General features: G+C 39.8%; 1 protein-coding gene across 22 annotated transcripts in view, besides 1 other annotated feature; it reads left to right on the top strand.

The window, feature by feature from the left end:
* Nucleotides 1–23,098, top strand: part of FGF14 (fibroblast growth factor 14) — a 691,640-nt gene that overhangs the window by 468,992 nt on the left and 199,550 nt on the right. Inside the window, exon 1 of one of the 22 annotated variants that reach the window (NM_004115.4) lies at nucleotides 16,507–16,999. The exons of the other annotated variants lie outside the window; for them this stretch is intronic. Within the exon in view, the coding sequence (NP_004106.1) occupies nucleotides 16,807–16,999 (193 nt within the window). The 5' untranslated portion in view covers nucleotides 16,507–16,806. Of the gene's footprint in view, nucleotides 1–16,506; nucleotides 17,000–23,098 lie in introns of those variants that run through there. 22 annotated transcript variants of the gene reach the window in all.
* Nucleotides 14,675–15,176: an enhancer, noted in NCBI's record as "NANOG hESC enhancer chr13:102570626-102571127 (GRCh37/hg19 assembly coordinates)". NCBI's record gives its function as "activates a minimal SCP1, AML or CMV promoter by ChIP-STARR-seq in naive H9 embryonic stem cells {active_cell/tissue: H9 hESC(naive)}" and the evidence as "EXISTENCE:reporter gene assay evidence [ECO:0000049][PMID:30033119]".

The raw sequence follows: 23,098 nt of genomic DNA, 5'->3' as shown, positions 1-23,098 counted from the left end.
ATGCCCGGACTACCAATACATTATTAATAACAGTAATTCTGTAGAATTCAACAGAAATTCACAAAGACAGTTAGCAAATCTTGTACCGGATAACTTCTTATTTATTGCTCTCAAAGCATTTGTTCTATGAATAATGGAAGAACCTCTAACCTCCCATTATTCATAGAACAAATGGGAGTTAGAGTTAGACACAGAATGTCTGCAAACACATGCAAAGAGGCCAAGAAAAGGGATATCGATAACTTTGGTTAGTTTTAATGGATTTGTTTGAACTTGTTTTGACGGATAAAAATAGTTAAACTAAGTTTTTAAAATATTAAGAACAGAATATATAAAATATCACTAACTTTACTGAAATTAATTCAGTCATCTTCATATTATGATCAAGTAAGAAAGATGGAGATGAATAGAGTGAAAAATTATGACAAAAATAGATTATTTTAAAAAGAAACACACCTAGGAAGAAATAGGACTTCAGGACATCACTGTAGCTCGTTAGCTGTTTCCATTTTCCCCTCAGCTGCTATCTCCCATCTCATCAATTTTGATCTCAAAATTCATTGAATTGGGTTTTTATCTTTCTAAACTTGTCCACCGTGTTAAACACTAAAGCCAAATATATCTTGGCCTGGGATTTCAGAACCTGCTTCTTGTCCTCATAATTTTTTCTCAGTGCTTTTTTTTTTTTTTTTTTTACTGTAATTTTAAAAGGGAGAGGGATTTATCAAAAGTGTGTAGGGGCAACCGACTGACAGATAACTTCATTTTAGGAAACTTGCCTATCTCCTAATTCAACTCAGCCAGTAGTTACTTGTGGCTCAAGAAACAAAGCTTCCCCAGTACTATCCTATGTAAATCTGTAATTTTATTATCGAGTTTTATGTTTTGTAATTTCTTTTTTCCTTTTTTTTTTTTTTTGACATGGAGTCTCACTTATGTCACCCAGGCTGGAGTGCAATGGCGTGATCTTGGCTCACTGCAACCTCCGACTCGCAGATTCAAGCGATTCTCCTGCCTCAGCCTCCTGAGTAGCTGGGATTACAGGCACCAGCCACCACGCCCAGCTAACTTTTTTGTATTTTTAGGAGAGATGGGGGTTTCACCATGTTGGCCAGGCTGGTCACAAACTTCTGACCTCAGGTGATCCACCCACCTAGGCCTCCCAAAGTGCTGGGATCACAGGCATGAGCCACTGCACCCGGCCTGGAATTTATTTTTAAAAAGCAATGAAAAGAACGCCATACACCTTTTCCTGTGGGCTCAAAATAAAGGCAAGACTGTCTTCCACTAAAGAACTCTGTTTTGTACAAACTAAAAGGAAAATTGCAGAGCAAGGCTGCAGGTCAGCATATGAAAGAAATGCGTTTCCACAAAATCTTTGAAAAGATATTGCCTTAATTTTAATGGAATCCCTGATCATTTATATAATATCTTAATATTTGGCATTGATCTTGGAGAGCTTTTAGGGAAAGTTCTTATAACCAAGACACACCCATCCCCAGAGAACCTTTTAGAAGTGTCCTATTTGATTCCAATAGGCAGCTCTTTGGAGCTCTGCTGGATTCAAATAATAAACTAATTTCTAATAGGAAATGTGGTGAAGAAGACTTAGGAGTGACATGTAGGAAGTTTAAAATGGGTCAATCGCGTTCTTCAGGTGCTTTGCGAGGTACAGATCCGCTGAAGTACTTATTCCATTTTCTCTGTGGTGTGCATTTCTGATGTGAGGCTTTCACGTGGGCATCAGTGTCCTGTCCGGCTCACCCGGAGGAAACCAACCTTTCAAAGTTACTCTTAACAGCTGTTCATTGAATTGCTTCTGTGGGCCAAGCACAGTGCTAGCCGCTGAGGGTAGACTGGATGCACAGTGAACAAAACAAAGTCCCTGACTCAGGGAAGCTGAAAATCTCTCATGCCTTTCAGACATGGTGGAGGAGGAGAGAGGGGAGCATCCAGTCCTAAGGTTTTCAGAGAATTGAGATAATTGCAGCCTCATTGTGAAGTCTCTTGGTGTTGTGACTAAAGAGAGCATCAAAATGTGTATTCTGAAGAAGTGCCAAAGAAAGCAAATGCAAACTACTAACTAAATTGCTGGTGAAAAACCAAGAGACAGTGAAATGAGTGAAGACTTGGAACTGAGACAGCGTGAGGGAGAATGGAAGGAGCTGGGAAGCCAGGACCAGGGAGAATGAAGAGGATGGGAAGGGCGCCTTTGCATTCCAGAGACAAGCAGAAAAAACCTACAGGGTTCGTTTGATCTCAGCAATAGCTCTCCTGGGTGGGTCAACGTCAGTGAGGTCTCCTGAAACTAAAGGGACAGAAATAAATAGGGTAGGTTTTGTCATAAAATATTTAAAGACCATCATATGGAAGAAGGATAAATATTTTGTTCCGATGGGCAATAAGTGAAAGATGACTGGACATTTTAGAAAACCAGGCTTTGGGGCCAATTCTGAGAAGGGCATGCTAAAACACAAGCCATCTCAAAAAAGGAGAGGGGTAAATTTGTTGGACTCTAACTTGTTGGACCGTCTAAGTGGAAAACAGGCATTCTCTTTACAGGGCTGTTAGAACACTGTAGGACCAGATGATTGTAAGTCCCCTTCCTACTAAACTTTTGAGCAGAAGAATAAATGTGGATTTAACAAACTAGCCTCTGGAACTCTATATGGAAGCAGATATTTTTATTTTCCTTGACATACCTAGAGGGATTAGCAGTATTAGTTTAACTCTGTGTGTGAGTGTGTGTGTGAGTGAGCATGTTTGAATCTACAATGATATGCAAGGATTGTTACAGTGTAAAATACTTTTCGTCTGTGAAGAAAATGAAATTAAACTGTTCATACCAAGTAGCCAAGGAAAGTTGATGGAAAAAACTTTGCAACTGACTGAGTCCCTCTAGGCTAAAAAGAAAATCGCTGAATGATTGTGTAACCACATAAGGAATGTTATGAAAATGGAGCATTCCAGTGGCTGAGATTCATTTCTGTGTTTATCAATACAGTATTAACACTAGGATATGGGGACATGAGTGTGCTATAAATACAATGAAGTATGTTTACCCAGGAGCCAAGGTATGACCATAAAGAGAGCAATATTTTAATGCAGGAAATTAATTTGGCTCTTTTTGACATAAGACCTTGTAAATACTCTCAATATTTCTCTAAAAAGCTATACTGAAGTTGCCTCTGAGATTTGCAACCTTGATTTTTCAAGGAAAAATGTTTTGTTGTTGTTTTTGTTGGGTTTCTCATTTGGTTTGTTTTTTCAAGTGTCTTATTGGAACAGAACTATTTCATGTCTTTGAAAACAGGAAGGGAAGGGAAAAAATTTGATGTTTAAGAATTAGAAATGCAAGCCTTTTGATATAAATAGAATAAGCTCTCACGTTAAAACGAGTAATGGGATGAATTAAAATTTGGAAGTAAAGCCCTCTAATCAGCTAGTGGATATCCACAGCTTGCTCCACAGCTACAGACTTTTTCCTTTATGTATGTGTTGCCCCTTTTTTCTCTTTACTAAATGAACACCTATATTAAAAACAAAGTCATCCTTCTATGATTATGCAAGTTGCACATGCTCCTTGTGAAAAGTCAGGGAAAAGTGCAAAGAATAAAAAACATAAAGGGCTACAACCCACCACCTACTGATAAACACTGTTTATACTTCAGTCTATTTTATGTGAATGTGTGCATGTATATATGTGCATATATGTATATATTTAATGATATATAACACATATAAATAAAGATGCCATATAATGTGTACATTTTTAAGTCCAATGACCATGTCTCACACATTAATAGAAAAGCATGGGAAGAGGTCAGCATGAAAATAGTCAGATGACGTGACAACGCCCAGGTAATTGAGTGGGTCTACTGCAAACCTATGTGGAAAATAGCTCTTCATGAATATTATTTAATGTTTATTACCTCAGCTGGTTCTACAGCTGGTGTGAATGTCCCCAGTGACATACAAAATTCCTAATTTCGTCACTGACAGGCTTTTTGTATCCTTTTCCCCTGACACAGATTAGGCTGCTTCCGCTTACCTTCACAGATTAGGCTGTGCCTGTAACTCAGGGTTCCTCTATTTTGACATTTTCTGACTGCAATCCCCATACCCACCTTGACTAGCTGGTGACTATCTCCCATCTTTTTAATCTCAGCTCCAGGTGTTACTGTTTCCATGAGACCTTTCCCAACCCATACCAGGTGGAGCTGACTCTTTCCACTGTTCTTGCACGTGCTTCACACCCAGCATCTGAGACACTTAGGCACAAGCGCCTATGTCAACATCTTCCCCGCTATATTCTGAGCCACTCAAGGGGAGATGCCTGAATGCCGGGTCAAGTACAGTGGTGCAGAGTTAGCGCTCAATAGACGCATTAATGTAATGAATTATTTGATGATAAATAAAGGTTGATCATATAAACCAAGAGGTAAACCTTTCTGAAAATTATGTTTTTATGAATATATTGTCCAAGCGAGGCCTATTTTGCAAACATTGGAGGCAGTAATTCATATCCAACTCAGAGCATTTAATAATAGTATGTATAGCTGCATAGAAAAAAAAAATGGACTGTGCTTAACAAGAAAAGAGAGATAGCCATGTTCCAGAAATGCTCTGGAGAGAGTATAATGGCCACTCTTCTGCATTGTAGCCAAGGCCTTCTGAGAAGTACAGAGCTGTGATGGAGAGGTCCTGGCACACCACATCAGGAGAAGAGAAATCAGGCTGAGAGCTGCTGCCAGTTAGCCGTGAGCTTAGCAAATTACCTAACCTCCATGGGCCTCAGTGTGTTGATCAGTAAAATGGGATTATTAGTTTTAAATCATCTCTAAGGCTACTTCTTGTTCTAACCTTCAGCCTGGCAACAGAGTGGGACTCTGTCTCAAAAAAAAATAGGGAAAATAAGATAACAGTAAGATTTCAGTTCAAAGCCATAAACGAATAAAATTGAGAAATATAATATGAAAATATCCTGTGCTCAGTGACTTTCCCTGTTGATTGAAGTTAGCAAAAACTACACACACACACACACACACACACACACCACAGCAAGTTTAGAATGTTTTAAGTATACTATTAAAAAATTCAAGTTGTATTAGTTTTCAGTGATTTGAATAAAAAATGGTCCTCGATTATGTTAATATGTACTAAAAAGTGTCTTTATTTTCAGACTCATTATTATCAATGAAGCCGAAAGCCTGCATTTGGTTGACTTTCTTCCTTTTCCTTTGCATATGCCATTCCCTTTTATTAAAATGTTAGGAAAATCTCCTGGGCAGCAGACCTTCCACTTCCTTCCACATGCAGAGTGTCCAGCTCGTGGTCATCCAGAACTCCACAAGCCTCTGCCCACAGGGCCTCTTTTAGTGCTTCAAGAGTAAAAGTAGCTTCTTCTAGAGAGGGACTATTTTTTTTAGATATTTTGAAAAGTTCTAGTGTCACCGGGGATGAAAGAGGGAAACGGGACGGAGGGCATATGTGTCTTACCGTTGGGAGGAGGATTAAAGACATCAGGAACAGTCCAGAACCTGGGACTATTCCTGTCTGAGTCTCATCCTCCCTTTGACAAACACTGACTGAGCACCTGTGGTGGGTCAGGCACTGCTCCAGGCTCTGGGGAGGTGGAGCCCCTCTGATCAGGAGCTGTGTGTTGGGAAAGCCAGGAGTGTGTAGGAGTCAAAGAAATGATCCCCGGAGAGGCAGGGAAGCTGGGAGCCTGTGCACATCGTTGACTCACCGAGGGTAGAATGACCCTTCAAAGAGGCCAGAAAGGGGCAACTCCCGGTCCTGGAAATGAAACCTATGACAAAGAGCTGGGAATTAGAGTATTTGAGTATCAGCTTTGACTCTTGCAGCAGGGCAACAAGGGCTCAGATCTAAACTTTGTACAGTACAAATATGTAAAACTGCTGTCTCCTATCTGTACTCAAATACCCATGACATAAATGAATCTGAAACTTGTCCTGCTAGAACTAAATCTCTTGAGAGGATCACGAAGCCCATTTCATGGAGAAATGAACACAAGCCTGTGAGCATGGCCAGTGCAGGCCTCTCCTGAGCACAGCTGACTGCATCGATTAGGTGTCTTGGGGAAAAATTTGTGTTTGGACAGTTTATCCCTCCCTGTCGGGGAGAGATTCATTTGCTGATATGTCTTGGTGCTTTCAAATATTTTATGTATATATACAATACATATAAAACAAAACCTGTCAAGTGCAATGGCCGCTATTCCTGACTCACAGCCAAAGCCTTCTTTTAACCATTGGGTACCCTCATCCCTGAAAGCCAGTTTCAAATCTCTGTAGGACCTCAGAGGAGGGTACAGAGAGAAACAACACAAAAAGGCCAAAAGGGGTGAAGGAGTGAGCAAAGAAAAATGTGGTGAGCAGGGCTTGTCTCGGGGCTCTAAAACTTGTTTATTTAAAAATATCCATGATGTTCTCTCTGAAATAATTCTTTTTCCTGAGGTTCCTCTTCCTCTGTCCGCATAAAGCTTCAGGAAATATTTCTGATTTCTTTAAAAATCTTTTGCATAAATGGCACCTTTCCATTTGCAGTCAGTGTCAACCTATACGGTTAAGGCAAATTCTTACCTAAGGAGTTCATCTAAATTTCTAAAAGGAAAGACCAATTATCTACTTCCCCTACAGCTATATAAAAATGAAAGTGGAATGGGGAAAAAAGACTTGCAGAATGTATTTCCTTCATTTGGCAATAGCCTTAGGCCCCAAATCTCATTTTGTAAAGCATCACATGTCTAGCTTTAGTTTTATTTAGCTAGATTCTATGGCCTTAAATCTCATGAAAGGCATGTTATAAACTCAAGAAATTAAATTCTTCATGGATTTATGTGGGGCTTAGAAAAATGCATTCTCACAATTCACTGGGGAGCCTAATGGTCCTGTCTCCACAATCACTGAGAATTGCTGTACGTTTTTTTCTGAGCGATGCAATAATTAAAGTTATAAGAAATTCAGGTAAGCAGGTGGTACTGGAGCGGTCCAGCAAATGATAACAGGTAACACTGAGCAGGGGAGTAAAGCAGCCTAGGAAGCAGGAGCAGGCAATCATTAGAGATTCAATCGAGTAAACAGCTGCTGGTGTTTAAAAAATTATGTTGGTAGGAAACCGGACTCTCATTTAAAAACTGGTATTTGGAAGCAGCTATTCTGTCCATCAGAGGGGCGTGGGTAAGTGTCAAAGGCTAGGAAGGATTCTGTTTCTGTGTGTTTTGGATACAGGGTAGGTGTGGTAGACAGAATGATTGCCTCCCCCAAGGTGCCCATATCCTTATCCCTGCAACTTGTGAGTATGTGAATACGTCAGTTTACACGATTTTGCAGATGTGATTAAGTTAAGGATCCTGGGATGGGGAGATTCCCCTGGATTATTGGGTGGGCCCAGTGAAATCACTAGGATCTTGAAGAGGGAGGCAGGAGGATCAGAGTCAGTAGTAGGAAATGTGACAATGGAAGCAAGATGCAAGACATGGTCTGTGAGCCAGGAAGGCAGGTGGCCTCTGGAAGATTAAACAAACAAAAAGCAGCAGGGAAATGGATTCTTCTCTCAAAGCCTCCAGAAGGCTCTGCAGACATCATGACTTAAATCCAGTGAGATTGATTTGGGACTGTCTACCTGCAGAACTGGAAGAGAATAAATGTGTATTTTTAAAAGCAACTAAGTTTATGCTAATTTGTTACAGAAGCAATATGAAACTTACACTGTAGGTTACTGAGAAAGACTCGGGAATAATTTAAGATCTATATTTTTAGCAGTTACATACAAAGTAGAAACTAGGCTCAGGAATAAGGCATTAATTTAAAATTATAACATTTCCTACATGCATGCACTTTGGAAATTACTTTCACTTGCATCTTTTAGAAGTAGATTACAAGATCAGAGGCAGATTAATAGCAACTTTGCCAGAACCTGAAGGCTTCCGGTATTTAACTAGACTTTCTGAAACCCTGCACACTGAAGTACCAGTTGTCCCCAGAGATTAGAGCCTGCAGAACCTGCAGGAGGAAGTGCCCTCTTAGTTGTAGAGAGTTTTTGGAAGAATGTAGAATATGTAGTCCCTGGTACGCTTTCAGGTCATATAATTAAAGTGTATGGTCTTTGATGCACTGGCTTTTACTGCATTTGTGTCTTCTCAGTCACCAACCTGGGCCAAAAATATGATAGCAAATTTGTATGTAAAATAACGTTCTAAAAAACTGGAAAAATATACCAAAACATTTGAATGTTGGGATTAGAGGCAATTTTTATTTGTCATTTATTTTTATATTCTAATTGTACTTTTATAGTCAGAAAATGTAGAATTGGATGTTGTGTTCTCATTCTCATTCTTTCTTTGCCCTCCTCTACAGTTTTCGGTTCTTATTCTTGCTTTGCTCACAGAGCTTTTTAACAGTTGAATAAAAATTGTGAACCCTGGTGTTATCAACATGCACATGCACACCTTTTTTTCAGCATAAATTTCAGGGGAATCAGATAATCCTACACCCATCCTTGGAGCTTCTGGAAGTCCTTGGCTCCCATGTAAGAGTTCTTATTCTACACTGGTCACTGTGTCAGACATGTATATTTCAAATAGCTGACTTCTGGGTGGCAGATAGTGTGATAGAAAAGGCATGTGCTTAAGATCTTGTTCTTCCACTTCATAGCTGTGTAACTTTGGCAATCATTTAACATGTCTGGGGCTTAATTGCCTCTTCTGTAAAATAGAGATCATGATGTCCACTTCACTAGAACTAAAAGCTTTTCACATACTATTATACACATATTATTTGGATGTTTTATAAACAGACATGCTCTTGTTCCCATTTAAATAATTATGACCGAAATATTCTCTAATTTATTATTAATTCCCACTTAACTATTATCCAGAAAACTTTCAAATGTGAATGTAAAAGTTCTATACTGTGAAGGTAGTAATGAAAACAGGTTACTAGGAGGCATGAACTGGGAGTTTGAAAATGGCTTTTTTAAAAAAATCACTATTTTAATTACCTTTAACAGAGTCAGAAATTTAGTTGTGTGTTTTGGCACAAATGCATACAACATGTGTGTGCAGATGTACAAGTTTACATATATGTTTAACTCATGTATGCTAAATGCAAAGAACATAATCTTAATCCAGCTCACTTATTTCCTATGAAAGTGGTCATTCTAGAAATTATTGAAAAACTCATTACAGTGCTAAATATGAAAAAGATTATATCACATGTGCACAGGGACTCTCTTTGCATTGAGATTATAAATGAACTTTCCTTTCTCAAACTTTCTTGGAAATTGAGTAATTTTTTTTCTGTTGAGGTATTCAGTAGTGTTAAAAATTCACTGATCTATTATTAAAATGCTTGGTATTTTAATCTTCCACTACTGATTTAGAGTAGGAAAAGATTTGCCAATATTCACAACTCAGAAATGACTTCTATGCCCATTTTGGATTCACTTTAGTATTGAAGGCTGGAAGCTACTGAGAATATTTTTTCCAACGTATTAGCTGGATTAAAAGAAAATCACTAAATTTGTAAAGCTAAACCATCTGCTAGTATCAATCTGGTATTGCTTCTATAGGAAAGAATGTTCACAAGTTTTTAGTATCAATAGTTTCTACTTTTCCTTTATTGAATCAAAACATTAAGCAACAATAAAATTCCTTCCAGTTTTTTAATAGATAGAAATCTGTTGCCTACCAGAAATAAATATATCCAGCAAAATTAATCAACAAGACTGTTATAACATTAATGCAATCACTTGGTTTTTGAAAATCTAATTTAGAATTATTTAATATTCAGTTAGATCAACCTTTGATTCTAAAATAAAGGTCAATAATACTATCACGGAAAAAAATGTGATCTTGAACTTAAACTGTAATGAGCGGATAAGCAGTCAGTCTTAATTAACTAGTTGAAAATTTGCCCCAAGTACATACTAATATGACTTTTTAAATATTCTTCCAAATGAGTAAAAAATGAAAAGGGACATCAATATCGATTACTTTTCCGGAAGTATTTCAAACATTTTCAAATAGAACCCATTTATCGAGAAAGGAGATTTAAACAAATGCCAATATATATCATCTTTAATTCCACTGAAGCTCACCCCAAATTGGTTTATAATAATTTAATTGTGGAAAAAATAATGTTGGACTTTCATATTTTATCTTTAATTTTGGAGATGTTGAAAAATGTCAAAAGTGATTCACAAAGGAAACCATGTGACAAAACGGAGTGAGTCACTTAATGTATGAAAACGATCAAGTACACGTCATATTTTAGTGATTCTTAGATGCCAATACTTTTTATGTATAAACACCTTTAGAATTCATATGCGTATTATAATCTATAAAATAACATAGCTTAATGAAGTGTTTTTATTTCTTTCATCGAAGTACCTAAAATAATCTTAAAATTAACAGCTTCTTAAATTTGACAAATTTAGGAAAGGCGAAATAGTGGCCGTGGCAATGGCAGAAATGAAGGAAAAGTAATAGATTTTTATTTGGAAAAATAACATGATAGAATTTAATATATATATCAATGTACAAAATATGTTTTTTGGATTTTTTTGTTCATTTGAAGGATAAATAAAAAACAAAATCCAGGCACTTTTTTTTTTTAGTAAACTGTATCGAAACTTATCTACTTGGAAGGCAAACAATGTATGCCACAAAGTCATCCAGAACATAATGGAACTCAGAATGCAATAGGAAAAAATTTAATAATCAATTCAATTTCAATAAGGCTGTTTCTTGTTTGTATACTCTCCTCACTTCGAGTTTATATACTTTAATATTTATAGATAATTTTAACAAATACATTTATCTGGTGTCAAATTCTATAATGGATTACATGATTAGATGTAGCAAATTTGAAAAAGGGCATATTGTCAATTTATCAATCAACAATCTGAAAATGAGGAGGCAAGATAGAAAACTGTGTGTGTGTTAGGAAGTGTGGAGAAGTGGTGAATCACAAATACCAGAAGTCCTTTTTGATTCAAATGGAAACAGTCTCACATCCTTCAGTAAGCCCCGAGGGTGTCACTGTTGAAATTCAGAACTCAAACTGTTTGTCATGTTTGGTTGAGCCCAGGACATCAAGCAAAGGCTAAAGTATTTTCGGTGTATCCTATTTATGAAGTTGAGATTGTGTGTAATCCAGATAGAATTTTAGGTGTCTTGGTGCTTAAAGAGATCAAGGATCTCTTTAGGTACCATGGGGTACTTCATCCTTGACAGACTGGATTAAGCAAGATTTTCTGTTCCTCTTATTTGGTATTAACTGTCTATTTGTTCAGATATCCAATGTCTTAATCCTTTCAATACACAAATCTTTATTGAGCACCTACTTGCCTGGCACCATTTTAAACACTGGATATGTGGCAGTAAACAAAGGAGACAAAGTCTGTACCTTTATAGGCTTATATTTTAAACGGGGAAGACAGCCCAAATAAATAAGGAAAGTACATGGAAATTTTAAAAGTTGTACGTGCTATGTAGAACCATAAAGCAGGGTAGCAAGAAGGAAATGTCTGTGTTTATGAGTTGTAATTTTAAATAGATTTATGAGCAAAGATGTGAGGAAAGATTCATAGGAGATGAGAGTCAAATGCAACAGCAAGTATAAAAGTCCTGTCATAGGATCATGCCAGGTGGTTTGATGGACAGCAAGTGGTAAGTGAAGGGAGATGAATAGAGATGATGTCAGAGAACAACTGAAGGCAGAGATGGGGCACAAATCACATGAGCCATGGCAGGCCACTACAGTGAGGACTTTGGTTTTGAAGTATGGGATTTCGTAGTTACTATTGTAGTATAATCACCCAAAAGATGATGGTGGTAGGTAGTAGTGGAGGTGGTGAGAGTGATATCTTGGATATATTTTGCAGATAGACAGAATAGATCTTACACAAATATATACGGGGTATTAGAGAAAGAAATGACATTAATATGATACTAAAGTTTTCAGCCTGAGGAACAAGAATGAAGTTGCCATTTCAGAAGTGGCGAGGATTGGAAGAACAGGTTTAAGAAGGAAGAACAGTAGTTCGTTCATGGCCATTTTAAGCATGAGACACTTACCTATCAGACATCTTTGTAGAAGTTTCAATATAGCTCTCTCTTTATTCAACAATTGCTGGTGTTAGTAGAGGAATGATGAAGTTTTTAGAAGGTGCCCTAGATTCAGTGTTAATTAGGGGTAGGTGGCAAGAAGTTTCCCAGAGAAGATATCTATGCTGAGACCTAAACTATAAGCTCCATCAAGACAGAGCCAAAAAGTCTCTTTATTTTTATTTAAAAATCTGTTGGCAAGCCATGGTGGCTCATGCCTTACTCTTTAGCTGATGATTTTTTTTTTTTAATCATCAAGAGGAGTGTGAGGATAGGGCAATAGAAATTTTCCAGGTAGAGGGAACAACATACTTAAAGTTGGAGGACCAAAAGGATCATAGCATCTTCAGGAGACCATCAAGCACAGTGTACTAATTACCTTCCAAACTGATGCTTGTATAGTATTTTAGTGTTTTTAGAAGTACTTTCTCATAGACCCTCATCATAGTCTCTGAAAGGTAGAGAAATGTTTTTATTATCAATCAGTTGGTGTGAAAGTAGGCTTACGGGACTCAGTTCACAAATGTAGTTAATAATAACTAAGGTTTGAACTTGGGACTTATTTCGTCAAAATTTAAAATAACTTCTTATGTTTCGAATTATCTAAAATCTTGTCATGCATCCACTGTGGGGGGGTGGTGGTGAGGAAATATACATAGGGAATACATATATTTTGATATTGAAAAAACATGGAAACTGCAAAAGAATTTACAAGATAGAAATGAGTAAACTGGAAGATGATGATAATACAGTCATAGCTGTCATTTTCAATTAGGGTGCACCAGATGTGGTACTAGGATCTTTACATTTATTTACTAAATTTAATCTCACAGCAGTTGAAAAGGAGGCTCTGTTTTCACCTCAATTTGAGAGATGAAGAAATTGAGGCTGAGAGAGACTAAAGCAACACCTTGGAGGTCATTATACAGCTAGGAAGTTGCAGAGTCAAGAAATGAACCAAGAACCTCTGAAATGAGAGTTCAGGCTCCCAATAGCTTGGTGAGGAGCTACACCACCTGGGCCGTACTTTATTTTCCTCTTTATAACGTCAAAGGTAAAATTAACAACTCCAAGGAGGTTCTGATGAGTGACAAATTATTTTCTGAACTACAGTAACCTTTACATTTGTGTTCACCGGCCCTGAATTGGTTTTCACCCTAGCTTTGCACATTCTTTTATCACAGCTTAAGACAGCAGATGGCTCTCTTGCGTTTTCTTTCACTTACCTCCATCCGTAAACAACTAAACAGCGTTTTGGGGAGGTAAAATGAAAACGCAGGGATTAACCTAAAAGACCTTGATTATCCCAATGCTGCCCCCCTCTCCAAGATCCCTTAAAATAGGAAGCTACGTTGAAGAGAAATGACCGCTTGAGGCTCCTGAAATTCACAGCCAGAATAGATGCCCGGAGACTCCGGAGTCCGCTGTTCAGGCGCTGCGCCAGGGGTCGGGACGCTCGAGAAAGAAAGAGTATCTCTCGGTTATGGAAAAGCTGAAAGGCTTTGTGTTCCAAGGTGTTATTAACGTCGGTAGAAGCTGTGAAGATCAATTTCCTTCCCATCATGAGGGAAAAAAGTGAGAAACTGCTTTTAGGGGAGGAAAGTGTCAGAGACCCTCACAGCCAGCGCTTTTCTCCATCAGCGAACTTGCTTCTGCTGGGAGAGGTAGGGCTGGGGCGGGATCCCTGTCCGCGGTGCTGAATGTCAGGCTGGTCCGAGGCTGCTGAACAACGAAGGGAGGGCTCTGAGAGGGCCAAAAACTGACCTCCTGACCCCCAAGTCCAAGGATTTGGGGGAAAGACTGCAGCATAAGAAAATGCCTGCAAAAATAGAGGCACGGCTATAAGAACAAGAAGCTTAATGTCACTCTTTTCAAATTAATATTGTTGGCACATACATCAAAAGGCTTAAAGAACCTTTAAAAATAAACTAGGTGTGTTGGGGAAGTCATACTAGATTTAAGAGGTCACTATACTTAACATTTTACTTTTTTGAAACACTCACTGCAAGAAGCCTTTGATAATAAACCTGGATGCTTTAATCTTACAGTCATTTGCAAATTCAAATCTAGAACTTCTGAAATGTACAAATGGCGTTTCTTCAATAATAGAAACCAAGAGTAGTGACTCTTAATGTTCAGTAGGACTCATTTCAGTGAATTAAAACAACAGACACACTCAATAGCCATTTAGTTATTTTCATCTCTCTATAGACATCTTTCCCTTTTTAAGCAGGACTACAGCAACACAACATAAATGCACACTCACAAAAAAATGGAAGAAAAGAGACATATGAAACTGAAAATAGAGAGGGAAAGGCAGAGCAAAATAATTAGCATTCCCCTTTTTCTCACTTTTGCTATTTTATGAGTGACTAGGGATTGCAAGTTTCTAGCAAAACAACTCTAGCATATTCCTTTTAATAATTGTAGAATTTGTAGATGTAACATAGCAAAGTGTAGAAAATAAACTTCCAGAAGTACACTTTGTAATATATGACAAACACCGTCGTAAAGCCAATGATCCCTGCCTTAGATCTAAATCTACACACTCTCATCAGGTTGCATTTCCTTCCCAAAAGGAGACTTGTTGGTAAATGTGGAGTGAAGGTAACAAACAACAGCCCAGCAGTGGCTGCTTCCATGGAGAAGCTGTGGATAAGTTGCTTAGAGCAGAAGGTGCCCAGCCTCCCTGTAATCTGCTGCACTTCCCCCCAGTTGCCTGGTGGCGAGTACTCTACTGCCTATTCCTGAGACAAAGAGAAAGTGTGTTTTGGTTGAGAACTGCTCCCAGGGCTGCCTGCGTAGTGTGCTTGCCCTCTTTCCAGCTCTAAAGCAGTCACTGGAGAAGAAGGTTGTTGCAAGTCTCTTGATTACCAAGTGAGCCATCTCTCCCCCTTGCTTCACACTGAATTTCCAGAAGTCTAGTTCGAGCATTTCTTTCTCTTTAGCTGCCTGAGCTGATAGGCAAAGCAGTGTAAAGGGAAGAGGAGAAAAGTAAGAAGCCCGGAGCCAGAGCTGCACTTGGTTCTGCCACTCTGGTGTATCCTAGAAACCACGGAACTGTGTTCATCCAAGCATGAAGTGTTTCTCTCCCAACCTCCCCCCGGCTTTTTGTTTTTTTCGGGTGCCCTCCACTGCCGCCCTTTCTCTTGGACCTTCACATTTTCAGGTATCCAGGAGGGAACCGCTGTCGGGACACAGACAGAAAATCAAGGGGGAGGAGACGCCGGCTGTTGTATTTGAATTTCAGACACAGTTCAGATGGCTTTGCTCCCTGACAGAGCTTCTTTGCCCAGGGACACCAGAAGATGACAGCTCAAATTGGAGTGTCCTGTCTGGCTGCTTTTCACTGTCCCTGGAATAGTGTGACACCCTCCTCTGCCCCTTATATTTCTGCCCTGACTTCTTCAACATTCTCCTGGGCGTTTATCCTACCCAGCTGCTGTTCTGTAGCAGCTACTGCGGCTGTCATCTCCTCCTCCCAGGGCTGGGGAGCATATTTGGGAGTGGGGTCTTTCTATCTCGCTTAATCACACCTTCTCTCTTTCCATTCCCTCCTTTTTGCTCCGTGTAGCCTTTCAAAATGACAAACCTACCCTTCCTGCAGCAGAAGGGAGGGTCCTGCAAGTTTGGGTGGACTAGGTGAGGAGTGGAGGCTCCTCCCTCCAACCCGGGGTTGGGGGTGGCGACGGGGGGGCGTTGGTGCTGGAGGGATTAGCAGGGAGGGCGGAAACCACCTCGCCCTCCAACCGCTGCTGAGAGTTTCAGTGCACCGGTAACCACGTTAAGACCGAGAAGCCCCAACCAAGCCGCGGAAGGCTCGGGAACCAGCGAGTTGCATCTAAGAAAAAGCGCCCCGATGTTCCTTCAATTCCACCTGCTTTGGCTCGGCCTCTTAGCACCCCATCCCTGCAATCCATCTTAGCTTTCTTTCTTATTATTTTTAAATCATTATTACCTATACGTTTTGTTTCTTTCTGAAGAGGTACATCAGGAGGGGGACCACATAGGTGGAGGGGGTGTAGTGGGGTGGGAACGGAGCGTTTGATTAGAGATCTCAGGGGAGAAGATTGGTCTCTCCAGATGCTGATTTCCAAAGCACTTGACAATCACCGGCAGAAGCCGAGAGCGGGCGGCGCCGGCGGCGGCACCGGCCCGCGGGCAGCTGGAGCCCGGCGCTGAGTCCTGCCCAGCGCGACCCGGACCGACGGACGCGCAGAGACCCTGCCGGGACCCGCCCTCCAGCCGGCGCCCGGGGAGCCGCCGGCCGGCTCTACCTCCCGCCCGGGAGCCGGGCAGGGCGAGAAGGCAGCGCGAGTGGCGGTGGCGACCCCCGCCGGGGTTCCTGCGACGAGCGGTGACCAGCAGCGCCCGCAGCCGCGGTCCCGCTCTCCACTCGGACGTGGCCAAGCGGCGGCGGCCACGACGTCCGGCTTCCCGGGATCGTCCGGCTGCGCCCTGGGCGCATCTGCGCGCCTGGCCCCGCGCCCCGCGGAGAGGGCGATGGGTCCCGGTCAGGACTGAGCCCCCCTTCCCCTCTCCCCAGTCCCGCCTGGCACCCCCTCCTCTGCCCCGAGGGCGAGCCACGGTCTGCGCCGCCGCCTTCCCCTCCGGTGCCCCCGGCTCGCCGTCCTCCCGCGCCCTCCCTCCCCGGACCCGTTCCCGGGGCCACCATGGCCGCGGCCATCGCTAGCGGCTTGATCCGCCAGAAGCGGCAGGCGCGGGAGCAGCACTGGGACCGGCCGTCTGCCAGCAGGAGGCGGAGCAGCCCCAGCAAGAACCGCGGGCTCTGCAACGGCAACCTGGTGGATATCTTCTCCAAAGTGCGCATCTTCGGCCTCAAGAAGCGCAGGTTGCGGCGCCAAGGTCTGTGGGGGTCATGGTCGGGAGATGCGCCCCGGGTCGCCCCCTCCCCGCCTAAACGGAGCTTCTCCAGGCTCCTTCCCTCCCTCGGTTTTCCCGGCCCACCCCGGCCCCGGCCTCCCTTCTGAGCACTCTGGGTGCCGTCGCGGGGACCCTGGAGTCCGCTGTCGGGCAACCTGTAGCCGCCGAGAAGTGCAGCCGCCAGAGATGGCAAGTTGGCTGCTCCTCGCCGGCGGCTCCTGCCCTCCGCGTCCCTGCAGGCTGGGCTCTGGGAAACCTGTTCCCCCTGAGTCTCGGCTTCCCGGGAGGATAGGGACTGGCACTGGCTCTGGAACGCGGGGCACCCCTTCCTGCCACACCCGGGGTCGAGCCACCGCTCGCAGTCTGATCTGAGCTGGTGGGGGTTTCCATGGGGTGGGCCTGGCCTCACTTGGTCTCTGGGGTCTCCTAGAAACCTCCCGGGTTCCCAGACCTTGGACAAATGTGGATATCCTGGCGGTGCCCCCAGCGGGAGCTGCTGTAGAAGGAGTGGAGGGTGTGTGAACTATGGCCCAGTCCGCTGAGGTTCAGCAGAAGGCTGCTTAGCGCGCAGCCCTGGGCTCTGCAGCCCTTCAGTCAAATCCTGGGATGGGGACAGAGGCTCAGGGAGTCTAAAGAAAGAATCCGAATTGCGGGGAGCGGGGGGCAGAAGTAAAAATCCCTAATATGTGTCAGTTTTAATTGAAAAACTGGCGAATTGCCTGAGATACAAGCCGTTACTATATAAAGGTGACTAGAATAGTTACCTTACTACAGGTATTTCTTTGAGAAACTAGTACCTAGGATGACCTTTCACTGCCTTTGAAATGCCAGGGTCTGAGAAGGCATCCTATTCAGGAGCCAGGCGCTTTTGTCTCTCTCTCTGCCTGTCTCTGCATCCAGTTGCTAAGGCTGGTTGTTTTGCGAGCATGTGGTGTGTTCTGTGGGGGAAATGGGCATTGCTGGCTTTTCATAACCAAGTGGGGTTGGTAGGAAACATTGAAGAATCTATTTACGTTAATGGGAGTATATGTTTGCCCAGCACATTACATTGTCGGCTCCCAGCTGTATTTGTTTTAAATGCCCTGTTGTTCCAAAGACGGGGGATAGAAGCATAAGCTATACATGTGTTTCTCAAAGAGTGAGTGCGTGTCCTTACATTTGCAAATTGATGACCAAAAGTTTTGATGCTTTTTTTTTAAAGGCTAATGCTGAATATTTTAAAAGGACAATTTCTTGTTGTCACATTTAAGAAATTGGAGATTACTTGCTCTTACTATCAAGCTTCAAAGGCAAAGATAGGAAGAAAATCAGAGTGGAAGTTCTGTTAGAGAAATAAAATTATATAAGTAAAATAAGAACTTCTTGTTGGAGAATTTGGGATCAATCATATTTTCAGACCAGTGTAGGAGCCATTAAGAAAAAAATGGATTTTAATTTTCCACATTAGCCTAGAGCCTTATTCAGCCCACCTTTGTGTAATGAGACCAACTCGACTGCCTTAATCACCGTTGATAGACGGAGGATCAATCTATTATGACTTAAATTGTGCTTATCCTCTTATGTCATCAAACAGACTATCTTTTAGAATACAGTTTTCACCACATACAGCTCCAAATTGGCTGTCTACATAAAGTAAATTAACATACTATCTACTAAATAAGCTTATTTTAATATAAACAATGATTAAAACTTGTGTGTATTTCTTAAGAATATAGCCAGTAGATTATTTTATAAATATGAACAATAAATGTTTTGTGCCATATTGGGTGGCGAAGGAGGATTTGCTTTACACTTAATGAATTTTAAGTTGGGTGTTTACTTTTTTGTCAGTATAGAAAGCTGTCTGAGTTTTCTAATGGTCCGTTTCTCCATTTTCAACCCTGACTGCTCTGTTGGTATTCCTGATTTTGAAATGATAAGCAATCTTCAATGTTCTGTAAGAAAAATATATTTGAGGTCACTTTTCTACCTTACTTTGGACAGGAAAATAGAAGGGAAGATACGTTATAAGGAAATTGTATGAGAATTTTTTATTCTTCTTATATTTCTTATATAAAAGTATATATATTCTTCAGAGGAGAAAAATACAGATATATCTCTTGAGTATCAGAAAAGGATTAATTTATTAGTATCACTAATTTTAAGCAAAACAAATATTAAGACTTTATGTTATGTAAATTATATATCGACATATAATAGTATGCTTTTATATTATTATATATAACAATATAATTATTCATTTAATTAAGTCTTATTGTCGAACATATTTTCAAGCATATTTACCTTCTTATTACACACTCTTTACATAGGGAATTGCCCTCAGAAAATTTTAAAAAATCATATTTATTAAAGATACAACCTTTAAGTCTGATGGTTTTATATGTCTTTATAGCTGAAAATAATATAACAATTATTGAATCTTTACAATCTGTTAGGCTCTGTAGCAGGTATTATATATACATACAGCAGTGAATAGAAGAGTTGAAGTTCCTGCCATCATGGAGCTCACAAACATGGGGTAGAGAGTCATTGCCTATGGAAAGGAACAAATTAATAAGAAATAATAAAATTCAAAGTCCTATAAAGCATGAAGAGAGCTGGGATAAAGAATTATGGAGGAGAGAGGGGTGGGGAGAGGGATCTAATTAGATAAAGTAGTCAGGGTGGGCAACACTGGGATCCACAGGTTGAGAGATGACAGGTAAGAAGGATGCAGAGATTTTAAGAGCAGGTAGAAAAAGCAATGTGTGTGCAGAGACCTTGAGGTGGAAAAAATATTGTCCCATTGGGAGAAAAAAAAGAGGCATAGAAATTTTAAGCACATTGTCAAGTAGAATATAGTGTGATATGCTTGAAAACAGAATAAAGAATAGCTCCACATTTTGTGTTTTGGGGAAGGGTAATACACATTTTTGAAATGTAGGGTTTTAAAAAATCCTTTATTAAGTAGTAATTTATTTAATGTAAAGATTATTGAGTTGGAGCCCTACACCCACACTCTTTCCTATCTCCATCACCCCTACCCCTATAGAAGAGTGATGTTTATACCAGTTGACTTACTCTTGTGAAGGACAGAAATTTGCAAGATGGCTATTAATGGTGTGGTAGGCAGCATGACTGCAACCCACCTTTCCAGATTCAGCTCCATCTACCCTCCACCGACCTCCACAGATTTCAAACACAATACAATGCCACACACCCCGCAAATTAGTCATATGCTTTCAAATCCTTATCCTTTTGTTTGTGCTTTACTGTGTGTCTAGCATCTTCTCCTCACTTCTACATTCACCTGTTGAAATTATGAAATTATTCTCATTTTGAAAAGCTGAGAGAAAATGCCATCTCCTCTGAGAAGCCTTCATTTATTGGATACAATTAAAAATAATTCTCCTGTGGTATTTCATACGTCACTGTTGTTGTTTATATATACCTGATAATAATTAATTAAGTATACATATTCAGCTGATTGTAGGGAAGAAGCAAAGTCTGTGTTTTCTGCATCTTCATAGGCTCTCAAATCTTGAGAGTGTTTGCCATACACTGGGTTCTCCTCATTGCCCTTGGATTGGAGTGAAATAAGGAAGGTTAATAGGCCCAAGCTAAAAAAGAAAGTATCCTTGAACCAGAGTGATCTAACTAGATAATTTTAGACATAAAAATACTTTTCAAATTTTATACCTTTTTTACTTTCCCTAAATAAATATAATTATATCTTTTTTTAAGAGAATTAGAGGGATTACATATTTGTGGGTTATTTATAAGAATGCAAGAACATAAACAACCTCATTTTAAAGCTTAACTAATATATGAACAAAGATATTTACATATATTGATTTAGCCAAAGAAAGGGGAATTTACAAGGAAATCAACAGTTTGCAAATAGTTTTATTATTTGGAATCTTAACAAAAATGAAAACTAAAGTAGCCACTGACTACAATGGTGTATAATGAACATTGTATCCCCAAAAGTGTTATGTTTTTATTATGAATTTTTCAATCAAACAAGAACCATAATTGTTCACAGGATAATAACCTTTCTAAATCTTTGGCATGGCTGCTAATGCAGTTGTTTCTTGAGATTTACTTTTTTGGGGCTGTGATCATGAGAGCTATGGTATTATGTGCCATGTATGCTTAATCAGCAGGTGCCTGGGCTTCTTACTAACATTTTAACTAAAATAAATTACAGTATGTATAAGGAATGGAAAGTGAGGTACTTAAAATGTGTTTTCAAGTTAATGCATAATATAAAAAGCAGAAATGCATGTACACCTATAGAAATAAACTGCTTTGCTCCAGTGTGATAGTGAAATCCATCAGTTATTCTAAGAAAAGTGTCCTTCCTTCTTACAAGGTGCTATGTAAGGAAACAAGTGTCTACCGTCTCAGAAAATAATCCACAGCAAATAGTCATCAAAAAAAAAAAAAAACACTGTTTTTGTGCGCTACTGTTTTAGTGTCATTACCATGTGCTCATACAAAGACCACATGCTTGTTTGTTTTGGCTGTTTTGGCTAAACTAAAACAAGGGAACATTTTTCTTCAAAGCACTTTTTATTTTTTGGAAGATATTTTCTCTTTGGTGTTGGTTTTCTAAGGCCATACCCATTGGAGTCTTACTACATATTAATACCTGTTGCTAACTTTTTGATAATTATAATTTTATTATTTGTTAGTTGTATTAAGGTTAGATCAAATTATGGTCTTCTAAATTAAAATGTTGAGTTTTGTTTTGTTTTGTTTTTAACAAGGGACATACTATAAATGCAATTTCTAAGCAGGGAATCTTATGAGAATATTACCAGATTGGTCAATGAAATAATGTTAGAGACAAAAAAGGCATTCATTGTTTATGCATTTTCCTCCTGTGGCTTAATTGTTATGATTTCACAGTCCATATTTGCTATAGGTTTCTGAAAATGTTTAATACCTCAGTAGTTCAATAAGTAAAGTGTAAAATAGTGTAACAGATTAGGTATAATGTAATTAAACATAAAGAAGATGGTTTGCTTTGGGTTTAGTTATATCCATAGATTGAGTTGAGTTTACATATATTAATAATCTATGGCCAACTGTCTGGTGAAGAAATCCTGTGACCTTTCCTAACAAGATTTCAGATACACAAAACCTTCTGTCCCAAAGTTACCGTAATCAATTACGGGCTTCACTTCACATTTTGAATTTGAATACTTTTACATTTAGCCCCAAACTTGTGATTTTTGTTAGTAATTCCATTCTCTATGATGTTACTGTGAGAACAAGTATTTTCAAACCCAACAAGAACCTCCCTTCTCTTTGGTGTAAAGTTACGTCTTCTAAATTTTATTTATTTAAATTTTTTTAAATGGTAGAAATTTAAAAGGAAAGGTTTCTAAATATGATTTATCCACTTAGTTATGGAATTCTATATTTTTCTTAGATATAATTTATATTAATGTCTCCCCAAATGTTGAGAAACTTTAGCCAAAGAGGACTATGATATTTAGATAATACAAATGTTATATAATATTTCAAATATTGTTTTAGCACCCAACAACTAAAACACACACACACACACACACACACACACACACACACACACACACACACACACACACGAATCCAAATCTCTAAGAGACCATTTCAGAGACGTCAATGCAATTTAAAGCCAGTTACAGTGTTTGCATTAGAAAACAACTAATTTCATAGTTTTGGTCTATAATGGTCCAGCATTCAATTTAAGAAACTCAGATCACATGAAAATGTCACCATTTGCTGTTTACTGGGGTGACAGTATACCAGTAGGCATGCGTAGAAATGCAGACACAGTGTCTACACCATTTTATGATAGGTACTACTTTGTCATTCAGAAAAATGTCTCCTTTCATAAAATTAAATTTTGTAATTTATTTTGTGGAATGTATGTTTCTCCCTATGATTTTATGGTTTTTGATATTGGGATTGATAGGAACCCATACGGCATCACCATAGGGAAGGGCCACTTCAAAGTCATTGTCTCACCAGTGCCTGGCATACAGCTAACACTTCAGAAGTATTTGTTGAGTGAATGAAACATACCACATTTGTCAGGACATATATGCA

This window comes from Homo sapiens, chromosome 13 (genome assembly GCF_000001405.40).
Source record: "Homo sapiens chromosome 13, GRCh38.p14 Primary Assembly".
NCBI classification, from domain to species: Eukaryota; Metazoa; Chordata; class Mammalia; order Primates; family Hominidae; genus Homo; species Homo sapiens.
Note: the sequence above shows the minus strand (reverse complement) of the source record. Positions and strands in the feature narration are given on the sequence as shown.